The 14,567-nt window shown below is 43.1% G+C and overlaps 1 protein-coding gene, 1 long non-coding RNA gene and 1 other non-coding gene across 87 annotated transcripts in view, besides 2 other annotated features; all 3 read left to right on the plus strand.

Annotated features, from left to right (window-relative positions):
* Positions 1–14,567, plus strand: part of SNHG14 (small nucleolar RNA host gene 14) — a 595,855-nt gene that overhangs the window by 65,748 nt on the left and 515,540 nt on the right. The gene's annotated exons all lie outside the window — the stretch shown is intronic.
* SNRPN (small nuclear ribonucleoprotein polypeptide N) overlaps positions 1–14,567 on the plus strand; it is a 155,087-nt gene that overhangs the window by 65,719 nt on the left and 74,801 nt on the right. The gene's annotated exons all lie outside the window — the stretch shown is intronic.
* Positions 4,392–4,493, plus strand: LOC124903612 (small nucleolar RNA U13). Its single transcript, XR_007064837.1, has one exon. It is a non-coding gene; the product is annotated as a small nucleolar RNA U13 (small nucleolar RNA).
* Positions 9,271–9,903: an enhancer, noted in NCBI's record as "OCT4-NANOG-H3K27ac hESC enhancer chr15:25143773-25144405 (GRCh37/hg19 assembly coordinates)". NCBI's record gives its function as "activates a minimal SCP1, AML or CMV promoter by ChIP-STARR-seq in naive and primed H9 embryonic stem cells {active_cell/tissue: H9 hESC(naive and primed)}" and the evidence as "EXISTENCE:reporter gene assay evidence [ECO:0000049][PMID:30033119]".
* Positions 10,535–11,035: an enhancer, noted in NCBI's record as "H3K27ac hESC enhancer chr15:25145037-25145537 (GRCh37/hg19 assembly coordinates)". NCBI's record gives its function as "activates a minimal SCP1, AML or CMV promoter by ChIP-STARR-seq in primed H9 embryonic stem cells {active_cell/tissue: H9 hESC(primed)}" and the evidence as "EXISTENCE:reporter gene assay evidence [ECO:0000049][PMID:30033119]".

A 14,567-nucleotide genomic window follows, 5' to 3' on the forward strand; every position in this document is an offset into this window, starting at 1 on the left:
TCAATGGCACGATCTCCGCTCACTGCAAGCTCCGCCTCCCGGGTTCAGGCCATTCTCTTGCCTCAGCCTCCTGAGTAGCTGGGACTACAGGCGCCTGCCACCACGCCCAGCTAATTTTTTTTTGTATTTTTAGTAGAGACAGGGTTTCACCGTGTTAGCCAGGATGGTCTTGATCTCCTGACCTCGTGATTCACCCGCCTCGGCCTCCCAAAGTGCTGGGATTACAGGCATGAGCCACCGTGCCCGGCCCTAACACGAATTCTTAAGAGAGGTGAACCAGGGATGGGATTGTGGATCAATCATGCAAAGACCGACTCCTCTGGGCTTCATTTCCTCCATACTGAATGTGCATCCCTACATGTTCATGTTGTTGTTTCATAGGTAGTGCAGGGGGTCAGAATAGGATACCCCTGGCTGGGTGTGGTGGCTCACGCCTGTAATCTCAGCACTTTGGGAGGCCAAGGCAGGTGGATCACCTCAGATCAGGAGTTTGAAACCAGCCTGGCCAACATGGTGAAACCCCTTCTCTACTAAAAATACAAAAATTAGCCGGGTGTGGTGGTACACGCTTGTAGTCCCAGCTACTCAGGAGACTGAGGCAGGAGAATGGCTTGAACCCGAGAGGCAGAGGTTGCAGTGAGCTGAGATCGCACCTCTGCACTCCAGCCTAGGTGAGATTGAAACTCCATTTCAAAAAAAAAAAAAAAAAAAGGATATCCTCAATTGCGGTGCCCTGGCATACTGAGTATTTTAAGCTGAAGGAAATTGAGAAAACCATGGAAGCAGGAAGGCCACTCTCTGATTTGCTCCCACTTTTCTCCCCTGAAGCAGGTCATAAAAGAATTATCTGCCCTACCTGTCCTGAAAGTAGGTCATAATGGGACCCTCATTTCAGAGGAGTTCTGCCCTATCCCTGGATACCAACAAAGATCTGAACAAACAGGTCTTATGAATTTCTCCCCAGGTAATTACTATTAGATGATACCCTTTGTTCCCCAAAGCTATTTCTTCAAAACTGTCCATAAAAATACACCTATCCAGCTGGGCACAGTGGCTCACACCTGTAATCCCAGTACTTTGGGAGGCTGAGGCGGGTGGATCACGAGGTCAGGAGTTCAAGACAAGCCTGACCAACATGGTGAAACCCCACCTCTACTAAAAATACAAAAAACAACTAGCTGGGTGTGGTGGCACAAGCCTGTAGTCCCAGCTACTCAGGAGGCTGAGGCAGGAGAATCGCTTGAACCCAGGAGGTGGAGGTTGCAGTGAGCCGAGATCGCGCCATTGCACTCCAGCCTGGGCAACAGAGCGAGACTCTGTCTCAAAAAACAAAAACAAAAACAAAAAAACAAAAAAGCCCCACCTATCCCTTGGCCTTTGCATCTTGATTTCTGAAGACTCACATGTCATGTAAAACTTACGTTAAGTAAATATATTATGTTTTTCTCTTGTAAATCTGTCTTTTGTAATCAGGATCTCAGCCATGATGCATTTTGGCTTGTCAGAAATAATCACAACATGTGGAGAAATAGATAAAATGCCATTTTTAAAATTATTATTATTTTTTATTTTTTTGATAGAGTCTCGTTCTATCGCCCAGGCTGCAGTGCAGTGTCATGATCTCAGCTCACTGCAACCTCCACCACCCAGGTCCAATCAGTTCTTGTGACTCAGCCTCCCCAGTAGCTGTGATTTCAGGCATGCACCACCACGCTTGGCTAATGTTTGTATTTTTAGTAGAGATGGGATCTTGCTATGTTGGCCAGGCTAGCCTGAAACTCCTGGCCTCAAGTGATCTGCCCGCCTTCGCCTCCTTAAATGCTGGGAATACAGTTGTGTAATGGTATTTTTTTTTGAGACAAGGTCTCAAAATGGCATTTTTTTTGAGACAGGGTTGTTGCTCTATTTACCAAAGACTATACAAGATTATGTGAACTTAAAATAATATTCGGGTTAATTTCTGTATTTCTAAGTTTTAGGAATACTTAGTTATGTAAGCATTTACTTCCCTTTAAGTCAATTAAATCCTCTTTTAAGGAACTTTATAAATTAATTTGGTAGTATCATTGGGCCCAGTAGAGTTTTTTTTTTCTTTTTTTTGAGACGGATTCTCGCTGTGTTGCCCAGGCTGGAGTGCAATGGCGCAATCTCAGCTCACTGCAACTTCTGCCTCCTGGGTTCAAGCGATTCTCCTGCCTCACCCTCCCAAGTAGCTGGGATTGTAGGCTCCCGCCACCATGTCCAGCTAATTTTTGTATTTTTAGTAGAAATGGTGTTTCACCATGTTGATCAGGCTGGTTTCCAACTCCTGACCTCAGGTTATCCACCCTCCTCGGCCTCCCAAAGTGTTGGGATTACAGGGATGAGCCACCACACCCGGCAAATTTCTTTTAAGATATTTTATAAATTAATTTGGTAATACCATCAGAGGCAGAAAAATTTCACACAGATGGAGAGACATACATAAACATACAGGCAAATATCAAAAGAGATCTTCTAGCTATCATTCTAAAATCTTAGCCATGAATCAGAAACACATAGTAATACAAAGTCACTGTTTTATATGTAACAGTTATCTCTCATATTTTCTCCATTTCATATTTTTTCCCTATTGTCCCTGGTAAATGGGACAAGTTAAGGCTATGTACTAAATATTAGGCCTAATGCTTTTTACCAATATTCATGGAGAAGGTTTTTAAGATCTTCATTTGCCCTGTGAAGCCCTTTTGAAGGCTGTGGACTAAATGTTAAATGAGTCACTGCAAAGACATCTAACAGCTATCGAAATGTCTCCACCACCCATCTGAGTGGATAAAATATCCAGTCTATTTCCAAATAGTCTTTTTTTCCTCTTCAGCCTTGGTACTTACTTTTGGAGGACTCTGAGTCCCTTGACAGCAGGGTGGACTAAAGTTTAAGAGAAGAAGTCTGACAGGGGAGGAAGACAGAGAGATGGAGAAGGTAGGAGTTTGAAGGGATCATATCCAGGACTCAAAGGAACTGAATGGAAGATTGAAAGTGGCAAGAGTAGGAAGGAGGAACAGAAAGAGGGGGAAGGAAGAGGTCTTAAGGGAACCAGCTGGGGGAGATATTAAATTCCCCAAAGAGGCTAGTGAAGCTCCAAATTATCCTTAGCAAAATCAGGCCGGGTGTGGTGGATCACTTGAGGTCAGGAGTTTGAGACCAGCCTGGCCAACATGGTGAAACCCTATCTCTACTAAAAATACAAAAATTAGTTGGGTGTGGTGGCACATGCCTGTAATCCCAGCTACTCGGGAGGCTGAGGCAGGAGAATCGCTTGAACCTGGGAGGTGGAAGCTGCAGTAAGCCAAGATAGCACCACTGTACTTCAGTCTGGGTGGCAGAGTGAGACTCCATCTCAACAAATAAATAAATAAATAAATAAATATCCTTAGCAAAATCATGCCAAAAAGAGGGAGGTAGGCAGAATTGTGAAAGCTTATAGCCAACAGAGGTTCAAGAAAAGGCTTTTTGTCAATGGATAAGTTTACATGGGAAGATCCGGATCAAAAGGAGAGAACAGAGAGGACTTAAGAAAATTGTTCCTATTGGCTGGGTGTGGTGGCTTATGCCTGTAATCCCAGCACTTTGGGAGGCTGAGGCAGGCGGATCACCTAAGGTCAGGAGTTCAAGACCAGCCTGATCAACATGGTGAAACCCCGTCTCTACTAAAAATACAAAAATTAGCTGGGCATGGAGGTGCACGTCTGTAATCCCAGTTATTCGGAGGCTGAGGCAGGAGAATTGCTTGAATCTGGGAGGCAGAGGTTGCAGTGAGCCGAAATCGAGCCACTGCACTCCAGCCTGGGTGACAGAGTGAGACTCTGTCTCAAAACAAACAAACAAACAAACAAACAAAAACAGAAAAGAAGAAAAGAAAGTTTTTCCTATAAGTCTGTAACTATCAGCTTCCCATTAGGCCAACTATTGATCATAGAGGTCTTAAAAAATCCTTTCAGGCTGGGTGCCGTGGCTCATGCCTGTAATCCCAGCACATTGGGAACCTAAGGCGGTAGGATTGGTTGAGCCCAGGAGTTCCACACCAGCCTGGGCAACGTATTGAGACCTCATCTTTACTAAAAATAAACAAAATTAGCTGGGTGTGGTGGCATGCTCCTGTAGTCCCAGCTACTCGGGAGGCTGAGGTGAGAGGATCACCTGAGCCCAGGAGGTCAAGGCTGCAGTGAGCTGTGATTGTGCCACTACACTCCAGCCTGGGTGACAGAGCAAGACACTGTCTCAAATATATATAATTTTTTTCAAATATCTTATCAGGTTTTGGTCAAGAGGAAAGGTAAATATTCCTGATAGTACATTCCCATTAAAAAAAAATGTACCCGTTACAAGTGACTTGGAACCAAAATCCATAGATTCTTTCATGGTTCTTTATCGGTATGGTGATAGGGTTTTCATATTCATGTGTGAGATGTGCCTCCCTCAGTCCTTGTTATGACATCATTACGTGTCTGACATGACAAAAAGGAAAAGAGAAAAAGGTGGAGAAAGGTAAAAAATAGGAAAAGAAAAACTGAAGGAAAAAGGAAAAAAACCCAATCCGTAAGCCTTTTATGACTTACCCATGAATGCAGAGGCATCTTCAAAGAGGGTGCAAAAAATGCAGCCCTCTAAAGATGCCAAACCACTCTCAAAGATAGCCAAAAGAAAGGCAGGCCTAGATACTCCCCCTGAGAGCTGGCAATAGATGTTAGCTGCAAATGGGTTGCAACCCACATGTCTGTCCAGCTGTATTCCCACAGCCCCCCAACCTGATGGTTGGCTGCTTGCACACACAAGAACCAACAACTTGTACGCCCCATCAAGTGGAAAACCAAGCCAAATTCTTTTTTTTTTTTTTCCTTTGAGACGGAGTCTCGCTCTGTCGCCCAGGCTGGAGCGCAGTGGTGTGATCTCGGCTCACTGCAAGCTCTGCCTCCCAGGTTCACGCCATTCTCCCGCCTCAGCCTCCCAAGTAGCTGGGACTACAGGTGCCCGCCACCACGCCTGGCTAATTTTTTGTATTTTTAGTAGAGACGGGCTTTCACCATGTTAGCCAGGATGTGTCTTGATCTCCTGACCTCGTGATCCGCCCGCCTCGGCCTCCCAAAGTGCTGGGATTACAGGCGTGAGCCACCGTGCCCAGCCGAAACAAAGCCAAATTCTTGACACAAAATGACAGAAACAGAAAAGCAATAGCTGCTCCTGGGAGGGAAAGGATCAATAACCAATAGGCACCACAAAATCAAGCTACAGTCACAATCTAGATAATGAATTTTTATAATTTTTTTCCTATCCATCTGCATTGGGAAAATAAGGGACAAGGAGTTTTTACTTTCTTCTCTTGACCAGGAACTACTGACAGAGATCTGGGAGAGCTGACTTTGGTGAAAATTCTCACCTTGCACAGGCTTGTGTCTGTTTTCCAGAATCCTACCTGCAGACTCCAGAATGAAGTGTCCCAGCTGTCCCTTTCTCGTTGCCAGAAACTTCTACCCTTCTCATTCCTTTGCTTGTCCCCCTGTAACAAGAGACAGATTAATGAGAGAAAATCATGCAAGTTGATTTACTGTATGTTTTATGTAACATGAGTCTTCATAAGAAAACTAAGCCCAAAAGAAGCAGTTAAACCTGAGTGTTTTTTTTGCTGGTCTGATGAAGAGCGAAGAGTCATGGAGAAATGTAATGGGACCAAAAGGTGTCAGCTAAGTGTAATAAACTGGGGGAAACAGCAAGGGCTATTCCTTCAGATTCCTCTCAGTGTCCCTGTGTCTTCAGAGATAAAGATCTTTTCCTCTGGGTAAAGCGTGGCAGCTCTCACATGAGGGTTTTATTACTTGCTTCAGCAGAAAGTCAAAAAGCCCTTCCCAGGTTTTATGACCTCTTTCAGCGAAAGGTGAGAAAGTCCTTCCTACACATTTGGTTTCTGAAATTCCTTCAGCTTAAAATATTCATTATGCCAACTTTCCATATTTTGGGTTGGCATGTCCTGAATATATTGTCAGAGCATTACAGAAAAAATACACCCAAACACACACACACACACACACACACACACACACACACACACGGACAACACATTCCCTATGACTATCTTAAAATTGATTAACCTCAAACATTTAATTTTGGATGACTGAGTCAAAAAGAGAATTGAAATTGCCATCACATATCTGGTCAAGCTGAAAGATGGCATTTGGTATTGGAAATTGATGGCTGCTGGTCATTTAACACCCATGCCTCAGTTACATATCTGGCTCATGAGATAAGAATGCTAAACAGTATAAACAAGACACCTCAGTATGAAAACGTTCTGCCGTTACAAAGGTACTCTCTTTGTGTTACTCTGCATTCTCTCCCAGCCCTGTAGCAATTTATCCTTTGTCCATATATTGAAGATAGATTTGTTTACATCTACTCTTAGCCTTCCTGAATATCCTTTGCTCCAGGAGAGCCTTAAGCCAAGGGTAGAAATGACAAGACAGACTCTATGTTTGCAGAACACCACATAGTCACAGCGATGCAAATGGAAAGGAAAATATGAGAACAAGGTCTTTCAATCCAGATTTGGCCTATGTTTGTATTAAAGGTGTTATTCCCATGTAAGACCTTAAGACATAATATTAATAATAATTCAGCTATGAAAGGTTCATGTTGAGTTCTACTTGCATGGGCAAGCTATTAGGTAGAAGTTAAAGATGCACAGAACACATTAGTTCTTTCTAGGTATATCCTTAGCAGAGCAAAATTGCAACCCAAGTTAGAACAGGAAAAACTTGATGAAGCATGAAATTACCAGCTGGTCTGATGGGAGATATGATGTGGCCCTGAGGTACAGTAGGTGGTGCCTGAAGCATGGTGACAGTAGTGGAAACACCTTAGGGTGACCCACAATTAGTCACTCTCATTCAATTCCCTTTCCTTGGGTGTGGGAAGAACCTGCCAATAGCATGTGGCAAAGGATATCGTTACTGTGTTTATGCTATGTTATATGTCAAAAGTGAAGATATAGTGCAGATGTAATTAAAGAAATCAGTTGGCTTTGAGTTCATTAAAAGGCAGAATAGCCTATGTAGACCTCCCCTTATCAGATGAGCCACTTAAAATGGCTCCTAGGCAGATCACAAGGTCAGGAGATCGAGACCCCCCCGCCGGCTAACACGGTGAAACCTCATCTCTACTAAAAATACAAAAAAACTAGCTAGGTGTGGTGGCGGGCGCCTGTAGTTCCAGCTACTCGGGAGACTGAGGCAGGAGAATGGTGTAAACCTGGGAGGCGGAGCTTGCAGTGAGCCGAGATCGTGCCACTGCACTCCAGCCTGGGCAACAGAGCGAGACTCCGTCTAAAAAAAAAATGGCTCCTAGGCCTTCCCTGATGTCAGGGAAAATAGAAAAGACTCTGTCTCTTCACTGTTGCCTTTGAAGAAGCAAGCTGCCATGAATTCTATAGCCATTGTAAAATGAATTCTGCCAACAAGCAAATGAGCTTAAAAAGTAACAGAGTCTGCGCACAGTGGTTCACGCCTGTAATCCCATCACTTTGGGAGGCTGAGGTGGGTAGACTGCTTGAGCCCAGGAGTTTGAGACCAGCCTGGGCAACATGGTAAAACTTCATCTCTATAGTAAAATACAAAAATTACCCGGGCACAGTGGCATGCACCTGTAGTCCTAGCTGCTCAGGAGGCTGAGGTGAAAGGATGGTTTGGGTCCAGGAGGCAGAGGTTGCAGTGAGTCAAAATCACCCCTCTGCACTCCAGCCTGAGTGAGAGCCAGACTCTATCTAAAATAAACAAAAACAAAAACAAAAACGTAATACAGGCCACTGACACCTTGACTGAATCCCTGTGAAATATTTCACCTGAAAATCCAGCTAACCTGTGCCCACTGACCCACAGGAATGGAGATAATATATTTACATTGTTGTAAACTGCTAAATTGACTGGATGTGGTGGCTCACACCTGTAATCCCAGCATCTTGGGAAACCAAGGTGGGGGGAATCACTTGAGGCCAGGAGTTTGAGACTAGCCTGAGCAACGTAGCAAGACCCTGTCTCTACAAAATTAAAAAATTAGCCGAGTGTGGTGGTGTGTGCTTGTAGTCCTAGCTATTCTGGAGGTTGAATGGGAAGATTTCTTTAGCCCAGGAGTTCGTGGTTACAGTGAGCTATGATCACACCACTGCACTCCAGAATGGATGACAACGTGAGACCTTGTGATATGGTTTGGCTGTGTCTCCACCCAAATCTCACCTTGAATTATAATCCCATGTGTCAAGGGTGGGGCCAGGTGGAGATAATTGAAACATGGGGGGTGGTTTCCCCTATACTGTTCTCTTGGTCATGAATAAGTCTCATTAGATCTGATGCTTTTATAAATGGGAGTTCCCCTGCACAAGCGCTCTTGCCTGCCACCATGTAACATGTGCCTTTGCTTCTCCTTTGCTTTCCTCCATGATGGTGAGGGCTTCCTAGCCATGTGGAACTGTGAGTCCATGAAACCTCTTTCTTTATAAATTACCCAGTCTCAGATATGTCTTTATTAGCAGGCTGAGAATCAACTAATACACCCTGTATTAATGTATTAATACATGAATAAAAAAAGTTGCTAAATATGTAGAACTACACTCTGTGTCTTCCCTTTAGTGTTAGGAAGATCAAATAGGCACTACAAGAGCATTTTCTTGGTAAATGGTATCTAAATTCCCTCTTATCAATGGCAATTACTCATTTGGACTGCTAACACCATAGGGGCAAAAATCCTGACATGTATGAATCTTGTGGGAGAAGCACTTGGAAAAAAAACAAAAACAAAAACAAAAAACAGAGACAAACATTTCTGAGCAAAAATGCAAGCTTTTTAAAAAAAATAGTTTGTTTTGATCAGTTCACATCATGTAGGTCATTTCATCCGGCCTCATTGGCATATAAGTAGTATATATTGAGCTAGGCGTGGTGGCTTACGCCTGTAATCGCAGCACTTTGGGAGGCCGAGGCAGGCGGATCACGAGGTGAAGAGATCGAGACCATCCTGGCCAACATGGTAAAACCCCGTCTCTACTAAAAATACAAAAATTAGCTGGGCATGGTGGCGGGCTCCTGTAGTCCCAGCTACTCGGGAGAGTGAGGCAGGAGAATCACTTGAACCCGGGAGGCAGAGGTTGCAATGAGCGAAGATCGCACCACTGCACCCCATCCTGGCGACAGAGTGAGATCTGTCTAAAAAAAAAAAAAGTAGTATATATTGAAAGTATAAAGGGGTGAACCACTTTGAATTGCGTATGACAAAAGAAGCTCAGAGTTCAGGTGAAAAATGTGTTATTACAAACTCAACTATCAATTTAATCTGTCTTTAATGTATGAGTCAAAATTAAGTGTTTTCTGTTGGGGTGATCGGACCCAACACCAGGCCGTGGGGGCGATGAAGTCCCACGGAGTCAAAGGAATGAGAAAAGACAAGTTAAGAGAGAAACTGGGACCAGGGGCCAATGCTAGTATGGAGGCTGCGAAGGCCCCAAGCTCTGGGACCCCATGCTATTTATTGGTGATCAAACAAAGAAACAGGTGGCGAGGCTGTGGGGGTTGAAAGGAAGTGGTGTATCAAGCAAATGAGCTACAGCTGTGATGGTTTAGCATTTTCTTTGAAACATATGGCTACTTGAGATAATGGGAGTGCTAGAAGCAAGGAGCCAGCAAGTCTAGACACATTCCAAAGGCCACAAGGGGTTTTAGACCCTGGACCCCAGACACGTTCCAAGACTCTTTTACATTATGTCAGACATCCAGGCCCTGCCTCAAATTCTCTCCCAACACTCAGCTTTTCTCCCAACACTTTCTATTACAAACATCAACGGAAAAATCAATGATCTGTTTAAAATATTGTAAATACCATCACTATGTTTGAAGATATGTTTTAATTTTTTATTATTCCTTTAATTAAAAGAACTGTATGCCAATTAATAAGCTGTTGCCTTTTAGATCAAAATTAATCATTCATTGCCTGCTCTGTGAAAATTGAGTCAGATACCCTTAAAAATATATTGTGTTGCAATAGTAAGTTTTTTCAGTAATTGAAGGTGGTTGGACATTGTAAAAAGAGATTTTCCTTTCTGATTCCACTGTGGTCTCTCAGCCGTTTCCCATAGCATGCATGCCTTTCTCCAGCACTATATTTCTACAGTATGCATGAGCAATCCTGCAGCAACAATGGCTTTTCTAGCATCAGGCTCCTACAACGCATGACAGTCAGCAGCACTAGTGGTCAGCCACTTCCTATATCCCCTACCCTTAGGTGGTTTCTAGTGTAGTGCTTCCAATAATATACCTACCTGTGAACACCTTTCCCTGGCACCTAAGTGGGAAGATTTCTGGAAAGTTCCACTGGTGCCGCACACTGTGACTATTCTGTGTAGCCTCTAACAAGCTCTGGATTGCAATCCACTTATAGTAAATAAATGTCCACTTCAAACATTCCCTCCTCAAATTCTTGTGTTTTGTCTGCCTCCTGATTGGACCCTCACTGAAAGAATTAATGCTGGCATTGTTCCAAGAGATATTTCCACAGAGATGAATCTGGGAGGTTGTGTTGGTCATTCCTTTATGTTTGGGCACATTCCACAGCTCCTTGTCAATGTGCAATGGGATACTAGCAACCTATGACATGCAGTGGTATCACAATTAATCAAGCAATGACCTGTGGTTGATTGTGGCAAAGTGCCAACTGAAACACGTGCCTTGGGAGCCCGAGTGACTGCTGCACTGAATGTTATGGCAGTCAAGATAACTGTAAGGACTGTGGGGTGGAATGGATTCAGTTGAGGGTCCTTGAGTGATTACGAACAGAAAATAACAAGCTTAGGTTCCTTAATTCTCAGTTCAAGCCACGGTTTGAAAACCTGAGAACTTCCATGGCGACTATAAAGGAAATTCATTTGTTGTAGCTGCAGGGCTGATATTGTTAAATATCAAAACCAAGAATGAGATCCTGAAACTTGGAATGGGTCAGGAAACTTGGAATGGGGGAATCTGTTTAGACTCAGTTGAAACTGACCATCTGGAAACAGAAAGTCAGGCTGAGCCTTTCTTACCAGTTTAAGTAGCTTGTCTCTATTGTTTGAAGAAAATATCTTTCCCTTGCACAAAAGCTGGGTTAGATACCATTAAAGGGGATGCCCATTTTTCTTAAAGTCCCCTACAAATCATCACTTTTTGCTAGTAGCATGACTAGACCCCATAACTAGGATTGAATAGCAACCTATTCCTAAGGGATAGGTACACACTATGACCTGTAGGAAACAGCTACATGCAAAAGGAACTGTGACATATATTGGAAGAAACCTGGGGAATGTTGGAAGAGCATTCTAAGGCCGTTATACTAAGGAGGACAAAATATAACAGTAGATTGGGTTAATTAATCTCAGTGCTATTACTGGGGATTCAAGATTTATTGTGCTGCAGGCATGTGGCTCACACCTATAATCCCAGCACTTTGGATGCCAAGGCAGGAGGATAAGATGAGTCCATAAATTTAAGACCGGTTTGGGCAACATAAAGAGACCTTGTATCTACAAAAAATAAATAAATAAATAATCCAGTGAGAGTGGTGCACCTGTAGTCCCAGCTACTTGGGGGCTGAGATCAGAGGATCACTTGAGCCCTGGAGGTTGAGGGTGCAGTGAGCTGTGATCATGCAACTGCAGTCCAGCCTGGGCAACAGAGCCAGACCCTGTCTCAAAAAATTAACAAAAAAAGATTTATTTTGTAGTTCTCCTGGTAGAGATCTTTCATCTCCTTGGTTAGATGTATTCCTTGGTATTGCCGTCTTAGGTAGAGGAAGAGGGCTCAAACATCTTGCTTATGTGATAACTTTGCCAAAGACACAATGTACAATTTGTTTTAAAGGCCAGTGAGGGATGTACCAGTAATCAGAATGTTTTGGCAAACAGAAGACTTTGGTGGTAGCTAACTGATCACAGGGTCCCTAGAATGAAATAGATGAGAAGCATACTTAGAGTATTGTTTGATCTCTATATCAAGAAAAGTTCCGGGTCTGGTAGTCAAATGTTCAACAGATGCCTACCTAGCTTTCAACCCTAAGTCAATTCACAGTTGCAGAGTGATACCACACGGACCATGAAAAGAACACTTGTTTGTATGACTGAGACAAAAAAGAATGTCATCGTGTTCTACCTTACCTGGGAATATGCTCAATTGGTGACAAAATTGTTGCCACTCTGTGCATGACCACAAAAGTACCGCAGGTATTGATTTTGAAGTTACACATAAACTTTAGTGAGTGGGCATATTTGCAAATATGTAACCTGAGAATAATGAAGATTAACTATCTTTAAACAACATAAGGAGTCAACATCAGTTTCTGAAGTAAAATAATGACTAAGTTAAATTTTCAAGGGCAAATTCAGATTCCAAGTGCACAGAACATAGGAAGAAAAGGACATGCAAATCAGAAAAATTCACAAGTGTAATGAGGCGAGAAGGGACATGGCGCACCAATTACAAAGGAATCAGAATGATCTGTTCATAGAGTTGTAAATGGGGTTGTGGAGGAAGAAATGAGGATGAACAGATAGGCAAGACAAGTTCTTTTCCTTCTATGTAAATAAGAGAAACTGAGAAATTGTAACGTAAGACAAGATCTAATATTATTTTTGGACTTCAGAATGGTATTGCATAAATGCTTAATTGTTCCTGATTTCGGGAGGGGAAAATGGAAATAGCATTTCCGTTGCATTTTTGTGAACAAAATTTGAGTGATCATGTTCTTTGTTGCATGTGGTAGATGGAGAGGTGAATGAAAGATTCAGCTTTCTTCCTGTACTTGAGGCATCTGTGAATTGGGAATTCAGACAAACAGATAAGCAACTAATTCTGGATATAAAATTTGTGATTTAGGCTATGCATTCTACTGGGGAATTTCAGATGTATAGGAATGTAGTTGAAATTTAAGTGGTCAGGGAATGCTATCTAGAGGAAGAAAATTATGACTAGAGACAAGAATAAATAGTAGTAACTTAAAAAAATATATATCAGGGAAGAAAAAATGGATTTTTGTTCCAGGAAAGAAACTAAGTATGAACAGATGATGAACTATTTCAGGAACTGTGTCTGCAATTCGTTCCTTCCAGTGGGTTCTTGGTCTTGCTGACTTCAAGAATGAAGCCGTGCACCCTGGCAGTGAGTGTTACAGTTCTTAAAGATGGTGTGTCCAGAGTTTGTTCCTTCAGATGCTCAGATGTGTCCAGAGTTTCTTCCTTCTGGTGGGTTCGTGGTCTTGCTGACTTCAGGAGTGAAGCCACAGACCTTCGCAGTCAGTGTTACAGCTCTCAGTCCGGAGTTGTTCCTTCCTCCAGGTGGGTTCATGGTCTCGCCGGCTTCAGGAGTGAAGCTGCAGACCTTTGCGGTGTTACAAGCGTTACAAGCTCGTAAAGGTAGTGTGGACCCAAAGAGTGAGCAGCAGCAAGATTTATTGCAAAGAGCAAAAGAACAATGCTTCCACAGCGTGGAAAGGGACCCCAGTGGGTTGCCACTGCTGGCTCCGGTGGCCAGCTTTTATTCCCTTATTTGGCCCTGCCCATGTCCTGCTGATTGGTTCATTTTACAGAGTGCTGACTGGTCCATTTTTACAGAGTGCTGATTGGTGCGTTTACAAACCTTTAGCTAGACACAGAGCACTGATTGTTGTGTTTACAATCCTTTAGGTAGACAGAAAAGTTTTCCAAGTCCCCACCCAACCCAGAAGCCCAGCTGGCTTCACCTCTCAGAACCACAGATACAAATTATTTTATTTACCTGAATCAATCTGAAAGCATATGCTGGGGCTGGATGTTGAGGATACTTAATGGCACATTAATTCTTTGATTTTGTATATGTTTAGATACATTCATTAGCTACAGTTTGCAGCTTCCTAACAGGGATTCCACAGATATGACTGTAAATTGAGAATTTTGGTTTCCCAGTGTCTGAAAAGTGGTTAACCCAAAGTTTTGGCTTTAGAGAAAGAGTCTATACAGGCAAAAGCGTAGAGGGTTTGGCAGAGAAAAAACAAAAACAAAAACAAAACATCCTAAGGGCCAAAGGAAATGGTTGCAAGGAAAACGGTCAAAAACTTGCATCATTCTCTTCATCCACTCACACCACTCTATGCAGGATCCCAAATCAGTCCTTGAATGTTTCGGCACAGGTTCCATTCATGCTTTCCAATGGAAACTTCATTTGGTTTATAGGATTCAGGATTGTGGAACCATCCGGTATCAAGAAAATAAAAGGCCATGAAAAAGTTTACAGAATGTTGGTATAAGCAGCTGCTAGGGATATTACTGAGTTTTAATGGGAGAGATAGTCCCAGAAAGCTGGAAGAAGAAAGATCAGGGCCAAGCGCGGTGGCTCACACTTGTAATCCCATCACTTTGGAGGCAGAGAGGGGCGGATCACTTGAGTCCAGGAGTTCGAGACCAGCTTGGGCAATGTGGATAAACCCCATCTCTACAAAAACATACAAAAAATTGCTGTGTGTGGTGGTGCACGCCTGTGGTCCCAGGT

The sequence above is a fragment of the Homo sapiens genome, chromosome 15 (genome assembly GCF_000001405.40).
Source record: "Homo sapiens chromosome 15, GRCh38.p14 Primary Assembly".
In the NCBI taxonomy this organism is placed as follows: Eukaryota; Metazoa; Chordata; class Mammalia; order Primates; family Hominidae; genus Homo; species Homo sapiens.